At 40.1% G+C, this 23497-nt stretch overlaps 1 protein-coding gene across 6 annotated transcripts in view, besides 3 other annotated features; it reads right to left on the reverse strand.

The window, feature by feature from the left end:
• DOCK10 (dedicator of cytokinesis 10) overlaps window positions 1–8037 on the reverse strand; it is a 277379-nt gene extending 269342 nt beyond the window's left edge. For all 6 annotated transcript variants that reach the window (XM_047444930.1, XM_047444929.1, XM_047444922.1 and 3 more), the window contains exon 1: window positions 7821–8037. In XM_047444930.1, the coding sequence (XP_047300886.1) occupies window positions 7821–7943 (123 nt within the window). In that variant the 5' untranslated portion in view covers window positions 7944–8037. The remainder of the gene's footprint in view (window positions 1–7820) is intronic.
• Window positions 6744–7083: an enhancer, noted in NCBI's record as "active region_17191". NCBI's record gives its function as "activates an Ori minimal core promoter by ATAC-STARR-seq in GM12878 lymphoblastoid cells {active_cell/tissue: GM12878}" and the evidence as "EXISTENCE:reporter gene assay evidence [ECO:0000049][PMID:35858748]".
• Window positions 7634–7873: a silencer, noted in NCBI's record as "silent region_12385". NCBI's record gives its function as "represses an Ori minimal core promoter by ATAC-STARR-seq in GM12878 lymphoblastoid cells {active_cell/tissue: GM12878}" and the evidence as "EXISTENCE:reporter gene assay evidence [ECO:0000049][PMID:35858748]".
• Window positions 8064–8433: a silencer, noted in NCBI's record as "silent region_12386". NCBI's record gives its function as "represses an Ori minimal core promoter by ATAC-STARR-seq in GM12878 lymphoblastoid cells {active_cell/tissue: GM12878}" and the evidence as "EXISTENCE:reporter gene assay evidence [ECO:0000049][PMID:35858748]".

Consider the following 23497-nt stretch of genomic DNA (forward strand, 5'->3'; position numbering starts at 1 on the left):
CAATACCTTTCTGCAGGATTGCATTTCCAATGCTTGCCAAGATTTACAAGTAGACTATGAAGAGGATGACACAAGGGCTGTCATTATCAGATGCTAACAACCTGGACATTTAAAAGTTATAATTCCACTATAACCTTTCAGTAATGTACATTCGGCCCACCCTTCTGACTTTCCTTAAGCAACTAATGTGCACTAAGAAGAGGGACTCCACCCCTCTTATTTCCCAATAGCAAATATACTATAAAAGTAGTGAAACAGACAAGTTCTCGCTTTTCAATAGCACTTATATTACAAGGCAAGAGGGTTGGAAGACAAACAAGAAATGAAATCAATAAAAAGATCACTTTAGATAGTAGTAAGAGCTATGAAGACAACTAAGCCTAGTAATGAGATTGAGAGTGTTGAGGGTGGGGAGCCTGGTGGGAGATTCTCTGGTAGGAGGAGTAACATTCACCTCACCCTGAAACACATCTTTAGGGTATGAACTCTCACCCTCCACTTGGTAATCCAGGATGACCTTCCTGAGAAGGTGACATCTGAGAATCTGAGGGATGAGAAGGAGAAGTTGTGAGAACTCTGGGACAAAGAAGTGGGAAATTCAAGAGCCCAATCACCTAATCCCCTAATTTCACAGTTCAGGAAACTGAGTCTTCAAAGAGAGAAGGGACTTCATCAAGGGTCACAGAGCCAGGTTTGAAATTCTGCTCTCCAGACTCACAGGCTCTGACATTTCCAATACCAACTCCCATTCATTAGAATCCCATGTGGCCAAACTGTTACAAGTGCATAATGGAACTCCAACATGGATAGTCAAGGAAAGAGTATCTCAGGATGATGGTGAAGGACAGCCCATCAAAGAGGTCATGAACCACATTATAGCATATGGGGAAGTCAAGATCTTTAACTCTATGGAAGCCCATTCTTACCGCATTCAAGCATGAATTCAAGAGGTATCACTTTTTCTAGGAGTCAATGACTGTGAGAGAGAAAAACATCTTCATGATTTTCTAATTCTAGCAGTTGGATTTTCTGATATCACCATTTTTTTTAAATCCCTAAGGGTTTCACTCAATATCATATCAATATAGATCTTATATGATATGATATATATTATATATATATATATATATATATATATATATATATATATATATATAACACTGAATCAGTGTTAATTGTGTGTTGTATTAGTCAGTGCGGGCTGCCATAATAACCAAAGAATCAGTGTTAATTGTGTGTTGTATTAGTCAGTGCGGGCTGCCATAATAACATAACATAGTCTGGGTGTCTTTAACAACAGACATTTATTTTTCTCAGTTCTGGAGGCTGAAGTCTGAGATCATGGTGCTAACATGGTTGGGTTCCTGGTGAAAGCTCTCTTTCTGGCTCGTAGTTGGCCGCCTTCTTGTTGTGTCCTCACATGACAGAGAGAGGGTGATCTCTCTCTCTCTTCTTCTTCTTTTAAAGCCACTAATCTTATCATAAGAGGTCCACTCTCATGACCGAATCTACCCCTAATTACCTCCCAAAGGCCTCACCTCCTAACCGCATCATATAGGGGGTTAAGGCATCGACATATTAATCTTGGAAGGACACAAACGTTTAGTTCATAACACATCTTTCATTAGTTGAAGTAATTGTATTTAAAAATTCTCTGTAGGAGGAGCAACATTCGCCTCACTCTGAAACACATGTTTAGGGTATGAAGTCTCACCGTACAACCTAGAGTGAGAACTTGTGCTGATTTAGATAGCAATTATTTAAGTCTGTTATGGAATTTTTTCTTAACCTGGAAAATTAAGTTCACACTACAATTAAGGGGCTAGATGGTAGATGGAGGAGAGAATATAACACAAATAAGTAAGAGATTTCCCTAAAGCCATTTAACAATGAACTAAATCCCATTTTCGTTTCTAAGTGGTCTAAACCTCATGTCTGCTTTAAGTAAAACTTTCAAATAGTTGCAGAATAAACCACATTGTATTGGACCCTCATCAATTGACTTTATCTAAAAAGATACTGCAAAAGTGTGGCTAAAGATGTAGGTTATTTTCATGTTTCTCAAATTTTAGTGTCCTAGTGCAAATCACTAGGGGATCTTATTAAAATGCATTATCTGGTGTGAGCCCTTGGATTCTGTATTTCTAGCTAGCTCCCATGTGATCTAATGTTGCTGGTCCTTGGACAACACTCTCAATGACGAGACTCTATCACACCATGCTACTATTTGTAAAAACCCCAGGAAAAAAATATCTTGTCTCTTAAGTTTCAGTATAAGTTAATGCTGAATATGTCTAGAGCAAGTTTTCATTTATCTAATGGACTTCTTAAATCTCATGGCTGATGGTGTTTTCCTCTTTGACTTGGTCACCAAGAAGCATTTTTAACAAAGCTATAGGACTTAATAGTGATGTATTTTATTTACTGGTCCCAATGACTTACATCTGATTACATCTAACTTTCCTAATACTGTTTTTTTTTTTCTGGCTAATATTACTTTTCACTGCCCTTACTATATTTTGTTGTTGTCATCTCACATGCATCTTTGTAAGATACTTAGGATCCCTCCTTCAAATAAGATAGAATGTGAAAAAAGAATCCCAACACAACTCAGTTAAATGGTAATACATACTCCCAGACACACAATGCATTGAGGAATTTCAGGCACATGTGAGAGTGGGGTAAGCAATTGAGAATGGAGAAGCAGACAGTTTTGAAGTAGACTGCAGGAGGATTAACCTCATGCTCTTTCACAATTTTCTTAAGACTTTGCAATACAGGTGGGATGGGGATGGCTGAGTGAGTTCATATTTTAAAGACTTAACTATTGAAATTCCAGTTGCCTTGGGAAGATCTATTATAATTAAGGGTACCTGGAGCAGCCTCTGCTATTGCAACTATCCTCAGGGGAACACTGGAGTGAATTCTCACAGGTACTCTGAAGCACTAGTGGGAAGAACAGTTTTCCTAATCCTTAGGTAGAACTGCATCTTGGATAGATCAAAAGGCAACACCAATCAACGTCAGCTACTCATATCCACCGATTTGAAGATGCTTTTAGAAGCAGCTAAAAAACTGGAAGGTAACCCCTCCAGTTTTCTATTCAAAATGCAGAGGATGTCCCATATCAGTTACTTAACTTAGGGAAACATGTTTAACCCTATGAGTCTCACTGGCCTCCTCTGTATTTTGCAACAATAATAACTTCCTCAAATGATTGCTCTGAGAATTAAATAGAATGCTTGACACTGTGCCAGGCACATCGTACATTCTTAACAAATTATTTACCTTAATGCATTCATTATTGCTTTCTTTTTCTATGCTAGGCCTTAGAGAATCTGGTTGTGGAGAAAAAGCCAAAACCTATACATGTTGACTCATTCTTTCAGCCTTTGATCCTTCTAGAAGTTTTCTAGAACCTACTTGTGGTTACTATTCATTTTCAAAGTTATTTCTCCAATGCCCTTGAGAAATAAAAAACATTGGCAGACACACAAGTAACATTCAAACTTGATCTTGTAAACTAAGTTTGTGTTGACTTCTTCTCCAGGCAAAGAGGTCAAGGGACTTTCCTCATATGAAAACATAACCGTGTGATTTCTGCTAAACCATAAACACCCTTGTCATAAAGGACTCTGTCCAGAACAACAAACAACAAAACAAAGCAAAAAACACAAACAAAATAAAAAGACTGTGCTGTGAATGCTAAACAACCAGGCCCTTATATTGCATATTGCTTTTAAATCTGGATAGCGACAGCAAAACAAGTGCTTCACTTTCATTTGCTATCACTTTCTGCATCTAGCATATGACTTTTGGGAAATTCCAGTATCCCCCACTCAATTAAAAAAAAAAAAATCCCTCCTACTCTCAACTCTTGAATGCCACCAAGTTCAGAGGGGAGAAAATTCTTCCTTCTAGGAATTCCTCACGCTCACGTAAACATGTTTACATATTCATTACTTCTCAATCAAAGCTCTTTGGTTGGTCAAAGGTTCCGCTTCTTACTCAAAGCTCTCTAAAATATCAAAAGTGGTATTATTGGAGGTCTGAAGAGTTAGGAAACATCAAAGAAGGGAAATGGAATTTACTGAAATAAATACTTTCCCCTCTTTACCCCTTACACTTTCTGGGTGGGTAGGAAGGGAGAAAACCTCCTGGTTAAGTATAATCACTTCCGGCAGGATGCTTTCTCTTTAAAATGAGTTAATAACAAAATTAGATACAATTAAAAAGGAGTTGCAAAGGAGTTTTTGTCTAATAATAGAGTAAATATAAAGGCATTAAAAGTGCATGTAACTAAAGTGGTAAGCTCCAGTCTAGGAAATAGATGAACGGCTTTGGGCTAAAACTGACCAAATGATTATTTGATCTCTAGTAAATGCTTCCTTTCCATCATCTGACTCTATGTAGATCTCATCCTTCTGGTTATCTGAAGCCTTCCATTGCACTAACCCACCTAAAACATTCCATAAATAAAACTCCATTTCTCTCAAAGTGACAGATCTGATGGGGTGTTTGCAAAAAGTTTACCTATACTTTTTTTAAAAAGTCTTTTCTTTTGAAATGCTCTCAAATACAATATATATGCAGAAAAGTGCACAAATCCTAAATGTATATCTTAATGAATTATAGAAAGCTATCTAAATGAACTAATTCATGCTAGGGTACAGATACACTTCATTCATTTTAAAAGATGAGCTTCTTATCAAAAAGGAATTTCTAATTAGTGGCATTACAACTTTGAAGCCAACATGGTATGTATATTCAACCAATGTAATAAAACACTCCAGTTCTGATATGAGACAAATGTTTCTAATCATTTTCGGGCTGAAATTCTACCCTAGAGAAGCTTGCTTTATGAAACAATCAGGAATGAGATTTCAGGAAATTATGAGAACTTGACATGATCCTTTGAATTGATCTTCGAATGAGTTGTCTTTCATTTATTTTCTATGGGGAATTTTAGGATAATGAAGGAGCAAATATTTCTCCTTTTGAAATGTATGTTTTTGTTCATTACTGTTCTTGGGAGGGGTGAAGAATAAGGTGGTTCGTGTCTAGGAGTCTGCAAGTACATAAGCCTACTACATACAGTGCTTTGGGTAAAAACTGACATCAAATTTGCTTTGGCATACACCTGTATTGTCCTCAACAACTGCCTTAAAATTTGGCTTTCCCAGTCATTACCCTCACTCAGCATCTCCTTGATCTCTCCTCTCCATATTCAAACACATTTTGAAGGCTTCCTGTCTTCTCTCTCTCTCTCTCTCTCTCTCTCTGTATACACACCCCATTCTCAGGGAAGAAAACTATCTTGTTAACCTGACAACCTTACCTAAACTTATTGGAGAGAGCAGAATTCAAACCCTATGGCAATCTTTTGGCAATGTCCTGGAGGATTTGTGTCCCCAAGACAGGGATTTCAGAAAGGGGAATATACAAATCTAGCAGTAAGATACTTTTTCTCAGCAGGAGTTTCTAGTCTCTTTCAAATACCTTGCAATAGAGGATGGCTTGCTCCAATACACACCCGCGGTTCTATGAGTCTGTACTGAAGTCGGATATCCATAATATTTTCCCCAACATCCTATCATTTTTCTCCCTTGACAACCATGTTTTGAGAACTTGAAGCAACAGATATGAAGAGTCTTAAGGGATTGCATCAATGTACGCTAAGATTAGTCTCTACCACATAGTCCAATGACACGGTTTTAGGTTCAGAAGGGATGCTCTACACCCACAGAATCCCACCGAGTTCAGGTGCCAGCTCAGAGAACTCATCACCTTCCTGTTTCCCTTCAAGAGTTAACTGATGGGATAGTATGCAAAGCACATGCGTTCTTGCTGCCAAAATAGCAGCCAAAACTGCCTGCCTAGATGTGTAAGATCCCATGAAATGTCTTGGCAAAAGCTAGTTTAGGAGTGTTGGCCAAGGTGCTGAAGCGAAGCAAGGGGAGTCAGGACCACCTTTGCCACTGAATCTCCCCTCCCCCACCTCTTTTTAAAGACAGCGAGCTTATTCATTTTGACAAGATACCCTAGGATTTCAAATCTGACATAATTTTGGAGAAAGCAGTGCGTGTGTGTGTGTGTGTGTGTGTGTGTGTGTGTGGTGTAGAAGGGTATCTGGGATACATAATCTTTATAGAAATTCTAGTGCCACAAAAATTCTAGGAGGATCTACATTTAAAAAAACACACAACAGTTTAAGCTGTTTATTCCAATTGAACGCTGTGTGTTTCCATCAGATCCTCAGTGAGATTCAGTCCAATGAGTCAATTGCAAAATAAAGTTTTTGTCAAGGGAATGGCAGAAAATGACAAAACCACAATTCTGAATGATCATTCAAAAGTAAAAAGTACTTTCTACTACTGTGTGGAGATTTTCTTATCTCTACTTTTACTCGAATTGAATCTTTTCTTCTAATGTTCTTTTGAACAGTTTGTCTTTGGTGTCCTGAAAATGTGCACGCTGATAGCAGTACCACATGCTGTCCCTGGCACAGAGTGAGCTAACAGTTGAACCACCTCTGGGTAACTGCGGACTGCAGCTAGTGTAAGTGCAAGAGAAGGCACCCTGGCCACCAATTCGTTTCACACTCCAATCACCCCCGCCCGCTCTACACCCCCTGGGCACCCGATGCCTCTTCCCTCTGCCAGGCAATTTGCTTCCGTTCTGTTCAACTTTCCGACCTCTGGCTTTAGAGAATAGTCCTGGCTGTGGGAACTGGCTCTGGGAAGCTTTTGGCGCCCTCCTCATTGGTGACTGGCAAGAGTAACACTTTCACACTCTTAAAAAGAGCCGTTTAGTTCCTAATGATATTTTCTGGCAAAAAAGAAAATGAAACACACAACCCGGATTCCGGTCCACCAAACGCAGGCCAAGAGCGCGGCTGCTGAGCCCCGGTCTTGCTGTGAGGCTGTTGTTCCCACTCGCTTCCCGTTTCCACTAGAGTTGATTTGTCTCTTGCCACCTCTCCCCGGCAGTGTGGACCTACTGCAACGCAGGAACATCTGGGTTGGTATGGATAGGATCCTAGCATCAGATGCTGGCTGCTGCCCCAGGGACTTCCCGCGGAAATCACCCAGCACTTAGAAGCCGTTTCAATAAGGAAGTAACCAGTAAAGCATTGCTGGTGGGAGAACCCCGCGAAACATCTTAGAAAAATATCAGAAACCGCTGGAGACCTAATGACCCACGTCTCCTCCAGCCTGTGTTCCTCAGCCCTTTCTGGAGGAGTATTAAGTGGTTTGTGGGTTTTTACCCTGCGGTGGGAGGGCTGTTCCAAGTACATCTATTTCTGCGATAGTTAACGTCGGGGGGCCCCAGCTCTAACCAGGGCGAGGACCACGGACTGCATCCCTCTCTCTCAGCGCACTGGTCTGTTTACTGGAGGGTGAGAGGGACGCGCAGACCTCCGGACTCAGGGGTTCTGTTCTGTAGATCCCCCCACCCCACCCGGGGTCTCTGGCACTCGTATCACTTAGCACCAGTGTGACTGGCGGTGCATTCCGGCCCCCTCGCGCCCCATTAAAGCCCCTGCACATCCTCTCCCACGCTGCGCTTCTGCTACCCACGCAGCTGCTCCTCTGAGCGTCCCGCGTGCACAAACGCGCCCCCGGTCCTTACGCGTCGGTGGCGCTGCCTCGCTGAGGTGGCGCCGGGGGAGCCCGCAGAGGCGGCGGGGGAGGGAGTGCGGAGGAGAGGACCCGTGAGCTGCGGGGACCTGGGCCCGCCGAGCTTTTGGGGAAGCTGGGCTCCGTTCCCCCCGGGCGCCTGGGGCGCGCGGGAAGGCGCGGAGGACGCGCCGCACTCACCCGCTGCTGCTGCCGGCTGCTGACTGCCACCGCGGCGGCGGACGCGGCGCTGTGCCGGAGCTCGGCCGCCTGCCCAGGTCTCAACAGGCTCCGGGTGAACCTGCGGGTCCGCTCACCGGCCATCGCCGGTCACGCCAATCGCGCCGCGGGCCCGGGGCGCGCCTCCCGCCGGTCTTCCCCGCGCCAACCTTCTCTATCCACCCGCCGTTCAGGAAGCGGAACTCGGAGCCTTCCCCCCCCTCTTCCTCGCTCAACTCGCAAGAGGCGGGTTTTTCTCTCTTGCACCCCCACTCTTCCCACCCCCTTCCCTCCTCTGAAGCTTCTCGAAGACTTTCCAAACTCTGCGCTCCCCCGGGCGCGCGCGGCCAACTCGGCTGGCGGCCGGGCCCTGCAGCGGCGCATCTGGAGCGGGCGTCGCGGGACGCGTGTGGGGCGGCTCCTGCCCGCGCCGCCCACACGGGCTCAGCTGGCCGGCCGGGGCTGTCCACGCCGCCCGGGGGAACTGCAGGCTGCGGGGGAGGGCGGGGGGCGGCCGCCGAGGGGCTCCGGGCGGGGCCTGTCCAAGGCCGTCGCCTGTCCAAGGCCGTCAGCCTCATTTGGAGGTTGCTGGGAGAGTTGGAGCCCTGGATGCATTTGCCGTTTAGACTTCTATTTTCTGGGTCCGGCTAGTGGGTGGGGGCCAAGCTCGGTTCGCCCTTCCACCCTCGGGAAGGGGTCAGAGGCTTATTAAAGATCTGGTGGCTGGGATCCCAGCAGCATCGCCCAAGCCAGCGTTTGGAAGGCTCCCTTGCCAGAAGTCCATGTTCAGGGCCTTGGAATAAGCTTCCCCATTCATTCACTCCTTCAATGAGTATTTATTAAGCGCCTACTATATGCCAGCTCACACTGTTCTGGAAACTGAGGATACGGAGAGGAACTTAGCAACTACACTTTAAGGCTGTGTAGAGCTGATAGGTTTTTTCGGGGTAGGGGTGGGAGACAGCAAGTAACCAAGCGAACAAATAAACAAATACAGAGAAATCAAGGAGACAGTTTAAGCTACTAACACGAACTCAAAACCAATAAATCAGCGTTCTGGGGGTAAGAGACTTTGGGTGGCATTAGGATGAGTAGGCAAGAACCAACTGGCAGGGTTACTATGTAGGGTGGTCAGGTCGGGGGTGGATTTCACAGTTATGCTGTCTCTGCTCTTCTCTTGCCCATACCCATCTAGCCTGCACTTTGCCTCTAGATAGGTATCTGATGAAAGCCTTCTAAGAAGTCTCTTCCTGGGTCATACCCAGGGTGGTTCTGCAATTCAGTGTTGGACTGGATGGGGGGCAGAGAAGTTCTGGCCCCTGGATACTGGTCTGGAGAGATCTGGGACAGCCTTTCCAAGTGGTCTGGTTTTTTCTTAACAGCTTTTTATGGATCCATGACCCTGCCACTTTCTAAAGCCAATGATAGATAGTTATAACACAAGGTCACATTTGGGTATAAAGAATTCTTAAGCAATTGATAAATGCACTTTAGTCAGCTCTTTGTTAGCCAGGATTCAATTAGCCAGAGATGCTGTTTGGGGATCATTTCAGCACATTCTAGAAATCATAACAGGCGTAAGAGGGTAAGAGGCTCTGGCAGATTTGGGAAGTGCCATTTGAAACATCATCTAGTTCCAAGACAGCCTGCATAACAAATAACTGTACCTGTATTGTATGCTTTCATATTGGTACTCAGTGTGGGAGCAACACCACCTTTCAGGGTAAGCAAAGTAGGTGGTTGCCTCTGTGTTGGTACATGAAGATCTCTGTAGGAACAGCTCCCTCCAACCGTACCCTTTCCCAGGTGTACCCAGACTTGATGTCTCTGAATGCATATTCCCCTGAGAGAACCGATTAAGCACATTTGAATTAACTTGAGCTTCCCAAGAAGAGGTACCTAATCTTTGTCTCTGGTTTCAAAACACTGCCTGGCACACGTAGGCACTCAATAAATATCAGCTTATGGATGACTTTACAAAGGGCTCAGATGGGCTAGTGCAGTCAGAGAGCTGGGTGTGCCTGACACAGAGAAAGTCAGAGAGGAGAAGAGAAAGGTGTGCTGAAAGGGAAGGCTATAGTAATCGATAATACATCAGAATGTGCCCTGCACAAGGCAACTCGCTGATCCAAAACACTGAGTAGCACACACAACCCAATCTCCAACAATATCGAGTAACAGAAAGTCACTTACAATTTGTTAATCGTACAATTAATACACCTAATTGTACTTTTTCCAGCTTCAGGAGGTCACCCAGAGCACTGGTGTGAGAGGGTTTAACGAACAAATGCCTGTTTGCCCAATCCATACCCTGTATGATGTTAATTCCGTGGGTCACACCGAGTAGGAAGGCAGGTTTAAGTGTTGATAGCATACCTCTCACACCCAGGGCATGTCAATAATGATACTTCAGAGACTCTCCTCCGCCCTTATGATCATGTAGGTTTTAGTTAAGCTTCCTTCGGGCACCAAGGAGAGAGAGCTGAGTGTCGACCCTTGCCCCTGCCCTTGTAGCATAAATACACTTATTTTTTGCTACAGAAATGTAACTTCAGGTCTGCTGATTTGGGACCTTGACTCTGCTGGCCACCCATCTCTCAGATCCCTGGAGAAACTCGGCTCAGATGCTTGGTAAACGCAAATCTGTGCACATATCATGAAGTATGTTAAGTTTCTTGGAACAGCTAGTTAATAAGAGAATCTTCAAGGGCTTGTAATATTGTAGAATAGTGGTTAAAATACATGCTCTGAAGTCCAATTACCTTTGTTCAAATCCCAACTCCGTAAGCCTCAGTTTCTTACCTACGCAATCAAGATAGTAGTTGTGTGGCTGGGCTGCTGAGAGAGTTACTTAAATTAGTGTAAATTTCTTCAAAAGTGACTAGCACATGGACTTCAATAACTGTTATTATCCCTACACTTGCAGATAACTCAGGAATTAAACAAGCTTCCATGTCTTTTCATATATTTGATTCTCATATGAACCCTGTTATTATTCCTACACTTGCAGATAACTCAGGAATTAAACAAACTTCCATGTCTTTTCATATATTTGATTCTCATATGAACCTTTGCGAGAAGAAGGATGGATGGGTATTATCTTGGAGCCAAGGCTGGGGATTTAATGAGCATTCTGGAGACAATGTCTTAACCCAAATCAATGACTATGGAATTTCATGAACAAGAATAACAATAACAATGTAATCCTTATAGTATTAACCCACTATTGTGTAACAATATGTAACTATAACATAATGTGCTACAGTTTGGATAATAGTTTCACATATATTATTTCACTTGAATTTTAATATATTATAAAATGGGGTTGTTCAGCCCATCTATCCCATGTCTCGCTGTCTAAAATTGTAGATGGATCATTAAAAGAGCTCCCCAAATGCATGGAACAGACATTTTAGAAACCAGTGGTTGCAAATTTTGCTAAATGTTCTCAAATCAAGATTGTACTAATACATAGAATGCAGAGGCTGCAATCAAGTTTTATCAGTGTTTGAATTTGCCAATTCATTTGAGTTGTCACGAGACAAGCCATTCACTGAGGAAGAAATAACCCCACTCAACAGACACTTATGGAATATCAACTATGGACAGGATCTCACACTATGCTAGGAGGGCACAGAGCTGAGCAAAATGTTTCTGTCTCCAAAAAGCTCAATTTCATACAGAGGAACTGACTTAAAAAACATTACTGGTGCTCATGGGTGAGTGGGTAGGGGGTGAGAGTAAGATTTTGGAGATGGAGCGTCTATGGACCCATGTTAACATTTTATACTTCATATTTTTATGACTTTTTAAATAAGATTGAAAAAATTGGTCTCAATAACATGGAATTTTCTAGCCTTCTCTTTCTCTTCCCCTCTTTACTTACCTCCTTTTCTCTCTTCTTCTTTCTTCCTTTCTCTCTTTGTCCTTTTCTTTCCTTCCCTCACTGCTTCCTCCCTTCCTTCCCTTCTTCCTTCTTTAAAATTTGATACTCTTCTTATTCATACTAAAGCATCACTTACTTTCATAAGATGTAGTAAGCACTGATTACTTGACCTGGTACAATTCAAAGCTTTATAGAATTAAGAAACCACAACTGTCAATAGCCCTCTCCTGTCATCCTTCTACATGACTGTGTCCATGTCTTATCAGCAAGGAAAGACTTCAGAAATTTTTTCATAGCAGTAATAAGTATAAATGTGAAAACTGTACTATATTTTCCAAAATACCTACAGACATAAGAGTGTGTAAATTTAGTTATTAGTCTAGGAGTGTGACTCTTGGACGAATAACTAAATTTGCACACTAAATGACTAAATTAGATCTTGATACCCAGAGATTGTAGGAGGTGGGGCAAATACTCCTTGCATCCATTCCATGGCATTGAGCCACCCTTCCTAAGTGATACCAAGCCCAGTGTACCCTGGGTGTCAGCCTGGGCATCACCATGTCCCAGTGCTTAACTATATCAAGTTTGTCTAGTGTTGCACCATTTACAAAGCACACTCATTATTTCATTTGATTCTCAATCATTCATTCTAAAATGCACATGGGACATGTGATATTGCCCCCACCGTACATAAGGGAAAGCTGGGAGAGAATTTGATAGCATGGAAATTAGGAGGGAAATTTTGCTAATTAATAAAAAAGAAAGATACAGAAATAGGAATACAAATGCCCAAGTTAAAATGGTTTTCTGATATTATAGGAAGCCTTCCTTTATTTTATTTTATTAATTATTATTATTATTTATTATACTTTAAATTCTGGGATACATGTGCAGAACGTGCAGGTTTGTTACATAGGTATACATGTGCCATGTTGGTTTGCTGCACCCATCAACCTGTCTTCCAGGTTTTCTGTGTGATTTTCCTCTCCCTGTGTCCATGTGTTCTCATTGTTCAACTTCCACTTATGAGTGAGAATATGTGGTGTTTGGTTTTCTGTTTCTGTGTTAGTTTGCTGAGAATGATGGTTTCCGGCTTCATCCATGTCCCTGCAAATGACATGAACTCATTCTTTTTTATGGGGGCACAGTATTCCATGGTGTATATGTGCCACATTTTCTTTATCCAGTCTATCACTGATGGGCATTTGGGTTGGTTCTAGTTCTTTGCTATTGTAAATAGTGCTGCAGTAAACATATGTGTGCATGTGTCTTTACAGTAGAATGATTTATAATCCTTTGGGTATATACCCAGCAATGGGATTGCTGGGTCAAATGGAATTTCTTGTTCTAGATCCTTGAGGAATCACCACACTGTCTTCCACAATGGTTGAACTAATTTACACTCCCAACAGTGTAAAAGCATTCCTATTTCTCCACATCCTCTCCAGCATCTGTTGTTTCCTGACATTTTAACGATCGCTATTCTAACTGGAGTGAGATGGTATCTCATTGTGGTTTTGATTTGCATTTCTCTAATGACCAGTGATGAATGAGCTTTTTTTCATATGTTTGTTGGCCACATAAATGTTTTGTTTTGAGAAGTGTCTGTTCATATCCGTCACCGACTTTCTGATGGGGTTGTTTCTTTTTTTCTTGTAAATTTGTTTAAATTCCTTGTAGATTCTGGATATTAGACCTTTGTCAGATGGATAGATTGCAAAAATTTTCTCCCATTCTGTAGGTTGCCTATTCACTCTGATGATAGTTTCTTTTGTTGTGCAGAAACTCTTTAATTAGATCCCATTTGTCAATTTTGAGGAAACCTTCCTTTATTAAGGGAAAAGTATATTTGTCTTATTTTTACAATAGAAATGGAGGTCCACAGAGGCAGGTGACTTGCCTTGATAATGTAGTAGTGTAATTGGGTGGGTAAATTAAAATAATTTTGTTTATTGAAAGTATAATGCTTGTCATATTCAGCAATAAGTAAAGTATCAGAATTGTAAACCAAATTGTTGGAAAAATACTTTGCCACAGCACATCTTGATTCCTAACACTAAGAAAAAAATAAGCAATTGAATGTACATCCAGTGGTGTTTTGGCTGAATACTATTTCATAAGATACATTTTTCCTAACCTTACCAAGAGAATATTAAAGAGCTACAAGAAAAATATGGTTTGAAAGGTATGATATTAATGGGGTCTATTAGTTCTTGAGTTCTTGCTGGAGCTGAAGCCATCTGAAAAAGCTGAGTGCCTCCATGTTGTCTATGGAAAAAGGTATTAAATCTGATATGTATTTCTTACTGTGTTTAGAAGACAGATCACTTCTTGGGAGAAAATTACACTTAAAGTAATATGATTTGAATCTGAAACACTGCCAGGCTGTATATCGTGCCAATACGCATGCAGTGTGGCATTCTATCACTATTAGTCCACCAGAATCCTTGGGGCATAGTGCAAACAGAGGTACATGATTGAAAGAAAAGAATGACTATTTTTAACTGGCAACCAGTCTCTAGGTTCTCTATCCTACTTTGGCTTTTATTTGTAGTCTAGCCTAAGGGAATTAATGTCCCAGGATCTTTTTTTCCTCCATCTGTAAAAGTTACTCAGAGGCAGATTTTGGCTCCATATGAAGAAGGAAAAGATTAGTAAATATTAGATGGGAACATTTTTATTTCTTACGTGCATAATTAAACCCTTGTACTTACTTTATTTTTCCAGACATTTTAATGTTCTCCTCCATTTTTCCAGTGTGGTGATTACTCCTGATATCTACTAGTCTCACAGAAATAGAACTTGATATGTAAAAAAGTTCTATCATAATTATTTCTTTTGTTTCTTAAAGAGAGCAACATAAAAATAAATCTGTTGTCTAATATTTCATTGAGAATTTTGCATCTACACATATGAGTGACATTGGTCTACCTTTTTTATTTTTGGAACTAATGTGACATTTTGCCAGGGAGATTTTTCTGGCTTCCTTAATTAAATTGGAGAGCTTTCTGCCTCTTTCCATGGTCTACAGCAATTTAAATAACATTGGGCTTATTCGTTCTCCAATGGTTGGATACAATCCAGCTGTGGAACCATCTGGTTTTGGTACATTTTTTAATAGGAGATCTATAATCATTTTCAAATCCCTTGTATGGTAATTGGTCTATTCAAGATTTTTCACATCTTTTATTTCTTAATAATTTATATTTTACTAATAATATCATCCCATTTTTCTAGATTTTAGAAATGTTTGCCTTAGAATTGCATGTAACACTGAATGATATGTGTTCCCTTCTGTTATGTATTCTTTAAAATTTTATTATAAATATTTTAAACATGGCTAAAAAGTATTACAAAGAACACAATGAATACTCATAAATCCTCCAGGTATATTAAACTATTTTAAATTGGAGAAATCATGACCTTTCATCTCTACATAGCTCAGCATTTATCTCCAAAAAGTAAGAATATTCTCCTACATAACTGCAATATTATTTAACACATTGAATTCAACAACAATTCCTTCATTTTTTTTGTCATCCAGGTCATATTTGAATTTCTCCAATTGTCCCCCAAATAACTTTTTCTCAGCTGATTTGATCAATCTCAAATTTAATCTTGAAGATGCATTGCTTTGGTTGTCATGTCTCTTAAGACTTTAATTTGAAACCATTCTCCTCCCATTTTTGATAATGACTTTGACTTTTCGAAGAGACCAAGCCAGTTATTCCAAGTTTTGTTATCTTTTGCTAACATTTAATTTTTTGTTGTTGTTGTTTTTTTGAGATAGAGTCTCGCTCTGTTGCCCAGGCTGGAGTGCACTGACGCGAACTCGGCTCACTGCAACCTCCGCCTCCCAGGTTCAAGCGATTCTCCTGCCTCAGCCTCCTGAGTAGCTGAGATTACAGGTGCGCGCCATCATGCCCAGCTAATTTTTGTATTTTTAGTAGAGACACGGTTTTGCCATATTGGCCAGGCTTGTCTCAAACTCCTGACCTCGTGATCTGCCCACCTCAGCCTCCCAAAGTGCTAGGATTACAGGCGTGAGCCACCGTGCCAAGCCTAATTTGTTGCTTTTTATCTGAAGCCTTTTAAAATACATACTTTAAAAAAATTATTTTTTTTAAATTTGCACATAACAATTATACAATGCACTGTGATCAGATCAGGGTGATTAGCATATTCATTGTCTCAAACATTTGCCATTTCTTTGTGTTAAGAATAATCAATATTCTCTTTCTAGCTATTTGAAACTGTATAGTAACATTATTGTTAACTATAGTCATTCTACAGTGTTATGAAACACTAGAACTTATTCCTTTTATCTAGCTGTAATTTTCTATCCTTTAACAAATGACTCCCTTTCTCTCCTTCTCCCTACCCTTCCTAGCCTCTAGCATTTTTTGTTCTAATGAGATCAACTCTTTTAAGCTACCACATATGAGTGAGAACATGAGTGGTTTAATTTTCTGTTCCTGGCTTATTTCAGTTAACATAATATCTTCTAGTTCCATCCATGTTACCTTGAATGACAGGATTTTATTCTTTGTATGGCCGAATAGTATTCTATGGTGTATATATAGCACTTTTTCTTTATCCATTCATCTGTTGTCAGACACCTGGGTTGATTCCGTATCTTGGCTATTGTGAACAGTGTTGCAATAAACATGGGGGTACAAATGCTTTTCATATAATGATTTCCTTTCCTTTGGATAAATGCCTAGTAGTAGGATTGCTGGATCATACGGTAGTTCTATTTGTAGTTTTTGAGGAGCTTTTATACTCTTCTTCACAGGGCTTTATTACTTTACATTCTTAAACAACAATGTATAAGAGTTCACTTTTCTCCACATCCTTGCCAGCATTTGTTATTTTTTTGTCTTTTTGATAATAACCATACTAATTGGAGTGAGATGATACCTCATCGTGGTTTTGATTTGCATTTCCCTGATAATTAGTGGAGTTAAGTATTCTTTCATATATTTTTTGACCATACGTATGTCTTCTTTTGAGAAATGTCTGTTCAGATCATTTGCCCATGTTTTAAGTCAGATTATTTGTTTTTTGTTGTAGAAATGTTTGAATGCCTTGTATATTCTGGATTTAGCCCTCTGTTGGTTTGAGAACATTTTCTCCCAATCTGTAGGTTGTGTTTTCACTCTGTTGATTGTTTCCTTTGCTGTGCAGAAAGTTTTTAGATTTTAAAATCCTTCCTCAATTAGTGGCTAATCGCTTTTCTCATTCTTAATCTCGAATATTTTTACTTCCTCCTTTTTTCCTTAATTGGGTTCTCAAGAGGGATTATCTACTGTAGTAGTCTCCTCAAGGAACTTGTAGTTGTTTTATTAGTTTGACTTTGTACTGTTTATTTTTTTCATTAATAAGCTATTTTCTTAACCAAGAGAGGAATATCAGATGCTATAGAAGAAAATATAGTACTATTTAAATACATAAAATCTTAAATCTTCATTATGGCAATATTAATAAAATGCCAGTATATAAATGACATAATTTAGTACATGTTTGTAATACAAATAAACAAGAAAAGCCAATATCTCTATTATATAAAGATCTCTTACTAACGGACAAGAAAAATATAAAAAATGAGCAAATTAGTAAAAAAGAAAGTCTAATACAAAAAGCCAAATTAAAAGAAAACAGAATAAATCATGCTGCTATAAAGACACATGCACACGTATGTTTATTGTGGCACTATTCCAAATAGCAAAGACTTGGAACCAACCCAAATGTCCATCAATGATAGACTGGATTAAGAAAATGTGGCACATATACACCATGGAATACTATGCAGCCATAAAAAAGGATGAGTTCATGTCCTTTATAGGGACATGGATGAAGCTGGAAACCATCATTCTGAGCAAACTATCGCAAGGACAGAAAGCCAAACACCACATGTTCTCACTCATGGGTGGGAATTGAACAATGAGAACACATGGACACAGGGTACAGAACATCACACACTGGGGCCTGCTGGGGGGTGGGGAGATGGGGGAGGGATAGCATTAGGGGATATACCTAATGTAAAGGATGAGTTAACAGGTGCAGCATACCAACATGGCACATGTATACATATGTAACAAACCTTCATGTTGTGCACATGTACCCTAGAACTTAAAGTGAAAAAAAAAAAACAGAAAATCTCAATCTCAAATTCTGTGCCCATTTTAAATTGTATTGTCAGTCTTTTTCTTACTGGTTTTTTAAATTTAATTTGTATTTTTTGGATACAAGTATTTCATCAAATATATATGCATATATGATTTGTTGTTTTTAATATTGCACGTTGCTCAATAATTAGAAGTCATAGCATTATTTTGCTGTTTTCCTTACATATTCAGAGAACGTTATACCAAATGTATACTTATCAAATGTGATTGTTTATCTTTTAAAAGAGATAGAGGAAGCATTTTTCCTAATAGTCTCAGAAAGAAATACATTAACACTTCCAAAGTTTTAGATGAATGCTACAAAGTTTATAAGGCTTCTGAAGTTTTTCAAAACATTAATTTCATACCCTGATCAAGTGAGCTGAAGACAGTTGGAGAAAACATATTTTGGGTTTGTTTATGTACATGTATAATTGATTTAAAGAAACCATTTTTTTTTCCAGGAAATGTTTCTCTTAAAAAATATCTTTCAGTTGTCACAGCTCCCTTCCAGTCATGTGGTTTTTGTGTATACTTGTATTTGCACTAACCCATTTCCTGTGCATGGACTCTGCTTGCCTTTGCTCTTGCTGTGGTAAAAAGAAGTGAAATAGAAATATCACAGCATTGCCCAGAGCTCAGTTTTTGAAAGGGTGTAAGGCAGAGGAAGGAAAGCAATGCAAACTGTGCAGCATTTCTGAAGCCCAAAGCAAAAATGGCAGATTGACTGGTCTTGGGGATGTCTATTCAAATAAAAGCCAGTGGGTTTTTGTTCTTCCCCCCATGATCATTAGAATTTATTAATACAACTAGATTAGGGTTTTTTGTAGCTTTATCTTTTAGCAGTTTCTCATGTGTAGGCTTGAAAATGTGTTTCTGTTCTGAGCTAATCATGAATATTGTCCCCTTTCTCCTTATTTGTTGATTTGCTAGAGGGACAAAAAGAAGTAAAATAGCTATTTTTATTGAAATCTTAAAAGCAATGAGAGAGTCATTATCATGCAACTAGTCTAAAAATTCATAATAAAGTCAAAGTACTTTTTGTAGTTTTTAAAAAGGTGCTATTAGTGTCATCATGTGCACAAAGCTCCAAGCTGACATTAACAAGAGGCCTTCCTAACACTACCACACAGCCTGTTTGCTGTTACAGAAATGCTTAGACTGGAGCTACTTAAAAGCACCTGAGTATGAGTCCCAAGGCTCAATAAAATATTCGAGACCATCCTGGCCAATATGATGAAACGTCGTCTCTACTAAAAATACAAAAATTAGTCCGGTGGTGGCACACACCTTTAGTTCCAGCTACTCAAGGGGCTGAGGCAGGAGAATCACTTGAACTCAGGGGGAGGAGGCTGAAGTGAGCCGAGATCACGCCATTGTACTCCAGCCTGGGTTACCGAGCAAGACTCGTCTCAGAAAAAAAAAGAAAAAAATACACACAGACACACACACACACACACACACACACGTATATGTATTCCATACAGACATCAGGTTGGCACTACCCTTTTCTGCTTTTGTTTTCTTCTATATGTGTGTGTGTGTGTGTGTGTGTGTATATATATATATATTTTTTTTTTTAAATGGAGTTTCACTCTTGTCACCCAGGCTTGAGTGCAATGGGACAATCTTGGCTCACTGCAACCTCTGCCTTCTGGGTTCAAGCTATTTTCCTCCCTCAGCCTCCCTAGTAGCTGGGATTACAGGCACCTGCTACCACGCCTGCTAATTTTTGTATTTTTCATAGTGATGGGGTTTCATCATATCAGCCAGGCTGGTCTCGAACTCCTGACCTCAGGTGATCCACCTGCCTTAGCCTCCCAAAGTGTTGGGATTATAGGCGTGAGCGACTGTGCCTGGCCTTTGCTTCAATATTTATCCAACCAATTTTGATCAGTTGGATGACATTTACCTGTGAAAGTCAAACCTAGTAGTTAGTGTGTGAATCTACTTAATTGGCTTTAATTCAGTTGTTGGATGTATATTCTCTTGTTGAATTCACATTTTGGGCTGGGGTAGAGTGCCTGATGTATGATGCTAAGTCTGATTTTGAAAACTGCTGGGGCTATGCTTGCCTATGAGTGAATCAAAGCATTTCAGAGATTGTCAAAGCTGGAAGTGGGCCCAGCCCGGTGGCTCATGCCTGTACTCCCAGCACTTTGGGAGGCTGAAGTGGGGGAATCACTGGAGGTCAGGAGTTTGAGATCAGCCTGGCCAATATGGTGAAATCCCATTTATCTCTACTAAAAATACAAAAAAAATTAGCCGGGTATGGTAACAGGCGCCTCTAATCCCAGCTACTTGGGAAGCTGATGCAGGAGAATCACTTGAACCAAGGATGCAGAGGTTGCAGTGAGCCGAGATGGCGCCACTGCACTCCACTCCAGCCTGGCCCACACAGTGAGACTCCGTCTCAAAAAAAAAAAAAAAAAAAAAAAGCCGGAAGTGGCAGAGAAATTAAGCCATTTTGTTGTTGTTGTTGCTTTGCTTTGTTTTTATTGTTCCATTTTATAGGAAAGGAAGTAAAAACTCGAAAGCTAAGTGCTATATCTTAGATCAACTAGTTAGTGACAAAGCTGTTTTGTGGCAAAGGTAGAAATGCTACCAAGATGTACTAGTTTAGGGCTTAACCCAGTATACCATGAAGCCAGAAACATGAAGGGGAGGAAAGTTAAAGGCTAATAGCAGTGTTCTAGAAATACAGCACAGAACTGCTGGAGTCATCATCCTACCTACAAGGTCATGAATGGGACCAGGGAGGGACACCAATATCTGATATTTCCTTTTGTCTCATTTTTTTCCCCTGGCACTTCTCATATTTCAAGATTCAGATCTGAAACCATCTCCCTTAGGAGGTGTTTTCTCCTAGATCCATTCACATGCAAGTATAGCCCAAGCAGTTTTTTACCAGGAGACTCAGCAGTGTACATCTGTTAGATGCTCTCCTACATAATAAGATACTGTCTGTGTATTTTAGTTTTTTGTCCACTTGTCCTCTCTTCCATTAATAATAACTGCTATTAATCATTGAATACCTACCATGTACTAGACATTTTACCAAAATGTCTTTATAAAAGGTGAGTTGAGTTCTTGAAGAACCCTCCAAATTAGCTATGAGTATTTCTATTTTTACAGGTGAGGAAATGAGGTTTATACTAAGTGGTTTGACCAAGGTCATATCTAGTAAGCAGGAGAACCAAGATGAGAAATTGTATTTGTCAGGCTCCAAATCTCAAGTCATTTCTATGTGTTATACTGAATAAATTTAGGGTCTGATGACAGTGATAATGGATACTAGGTTTCCCTCATCATCCATCCCACTGCCCTTCTGACCTAGGGTAGTGAGGTTGGAAAGCTAAAACCCTACATTTCTCAAGCTCTCCTGAATCTAGGATTCTGAGTATGGTGTCAGGTCTGCCAAATAGAAGCACTTGTGTGGATTTGGAAGGCACACTGAAGTGCTAGCCACCCTCCAGCTGGGAAGCAAGGCAGGAAGGGATGTGAATGTTTAGAGGCAGTTTTGAAGTCCAAACTCAAAAATTCAGTGTGCTGTCACCAGCCATCAGGTTTAAGAGGCAGTTGAGGCAGTGACTGTGGTAGCAGCCACAGACACTTCCTGACATCTGAAACACAGTTATTATGAGGTGGACTCAGTAGTCCAGTAGGGGCCCCTGAGCGGGGGTTCATCTTGCCATTCCAATGATTTTATAAAAATACATTCTTGTATTAAATTGCTTGGCTTCAAATACCTAATGCTATACTACTATTTCAGATATCTATCATTACATAAAAAACCACTCCAAAACTCTGTGAAGCAAAACAAAGGTGATTCTGGGTTTGGTTGGAATCAGCTGGGCAGTTCTGACTCCCATGGTTTTCTGGGATCACTCATGTGACTACATTCAGCTAGGAGCTCTTTGAGGCTGGAACACCTAAGCCACTCTCACATGTCTGCAGAGGTGCCTTGGTACATTTCCTTATGGCCTCTCTTTCCACATGGCCTTTTGTCACTCAGTAGTTTGATCTGAGATTCCTTAGATGGTAGCTGGTTTTCAAGAAGGTGAAGCTTCCATGCCTCTGAAGGTCTAGATCTAGAAGTAATTCACTACATTCTTTTGGTCAAAGCAAGTTATGAGGCAAGCGCAGACCAAGACTCCATCTCCTGGTAGGAGGAGTGGTATGTATGTACCATAGTTACCACAAGGGCCAGATGTGAATCTAGGGAAGCAGGACCAGTGATTGGATACCCAAGTTAGACACAAGTTAACCTGCTTCTAAGCAGGATAAATACAAGTGAAAAATAGAAAAATCTGAGATCAACATGAACAAGAGAATGGATTTAGGTAGGAGGGAGTCTGTCCAAAGCTCTCATTCTCCCATTGTAATTCTGCACAGTGCATTTTATCATCTGTTTATGCAGCAAAATTTGTTTAGTATATAGTACTTGAATTAATCCATTCTAGTATAAATAAGTTCTACCTTCAAGGAGATAAATAAAAGAGTATGATACAATCTACAAACACATACAGTGACTCACTAGCTCTGCTAGGCAGTCAGGAAACCAGTCTAGGCAAGGTCACCCTTAAGGACGGGCTTCTTTCACTTAGTGAAATACATTTAAGCTTCTTTTATATCTGTTTAGGCTTGATAGCTCATTTCTTTTTAGAGCCAAATACAAAATATTATTGCATTGTATAGATGTACCACAGCTTAATTTATATATTTACCTACATTCACCAAAGACATCTTAGTTCAAGTTTTGGCAATTAAGAATAAACCTGCTATCATACACATCTGCATGCAGGATTTTGTTCGTATGTAAGTTTTCAATTTATTTGGTAAATAACAATTGAAGATAGTTTGACAATTTCTTACAAAATTGAGTATACTCCTACCATTCATCCAGCAATACATCCAGTAAATATCAAGGAGCATGATTGCTGGATGTATGGTAAAACATGTTTAGTTTTGTAAGAAATTGCCAAACTGTCTTCCAAAGTGGCTGAACCATTTTACATTCCCAACAGCAATAAATGAGAATTCCTTTTACTTCACATTCTTCCAGTATTTGGTGTTGTTCTTGTTAAATATTTTGCCCATTTTAAAATCAGGTTGTTCATTTACTTATGGTTGATCTTTATGAGTTATTCGTGTATTTTGGATAACAGACCTTTATCAGATAGCCTTTTGCAATTTTTTCTCCTAGAATGTAACTTGTCTTTTCATTCTCATTTTCTTGATAGTGTCTTTCATAGAAGAATTTTTTAAAAATTTTAAAAAGTTGCTATGATTTGATTGTGTTCCCCAGAGTCCATGTGTTGGAAAATCAATCCCAAATGAGAGATGGAACTTTCAAGAGGTGATTAATACCGTTGTTGTGGGAGTGGGTTAGTAATCTTGAGAGTGGGTTACCAATAAAATAATGAGTTAGGCCTCTTCTCTCTTGTGCATGCTGTCTTGCCCTTCTACCTTCCTCTACGGGATAATGCAGCAAGAAGGGCTTTGCCAGATGCAGTCCCTTCTACCCTGGACTCCCCAGCCTCCTGAACTGTAAGAAATAAATCTCTGTTCTTTATAAATTACTCAATTTCAGGTATTCTGTT

This window comes from Homo sapiens, chromosome 2 (genome assembly GCF_000001405.40).
Source record: "Homo sapiens chromosome 2, GRCh38.p14 Primary Assembly".
NCBI lineage: Eukaryota > Metazoa > Chordata > Mammalia > Primates > Hominidae > Homo > Homo sapiens.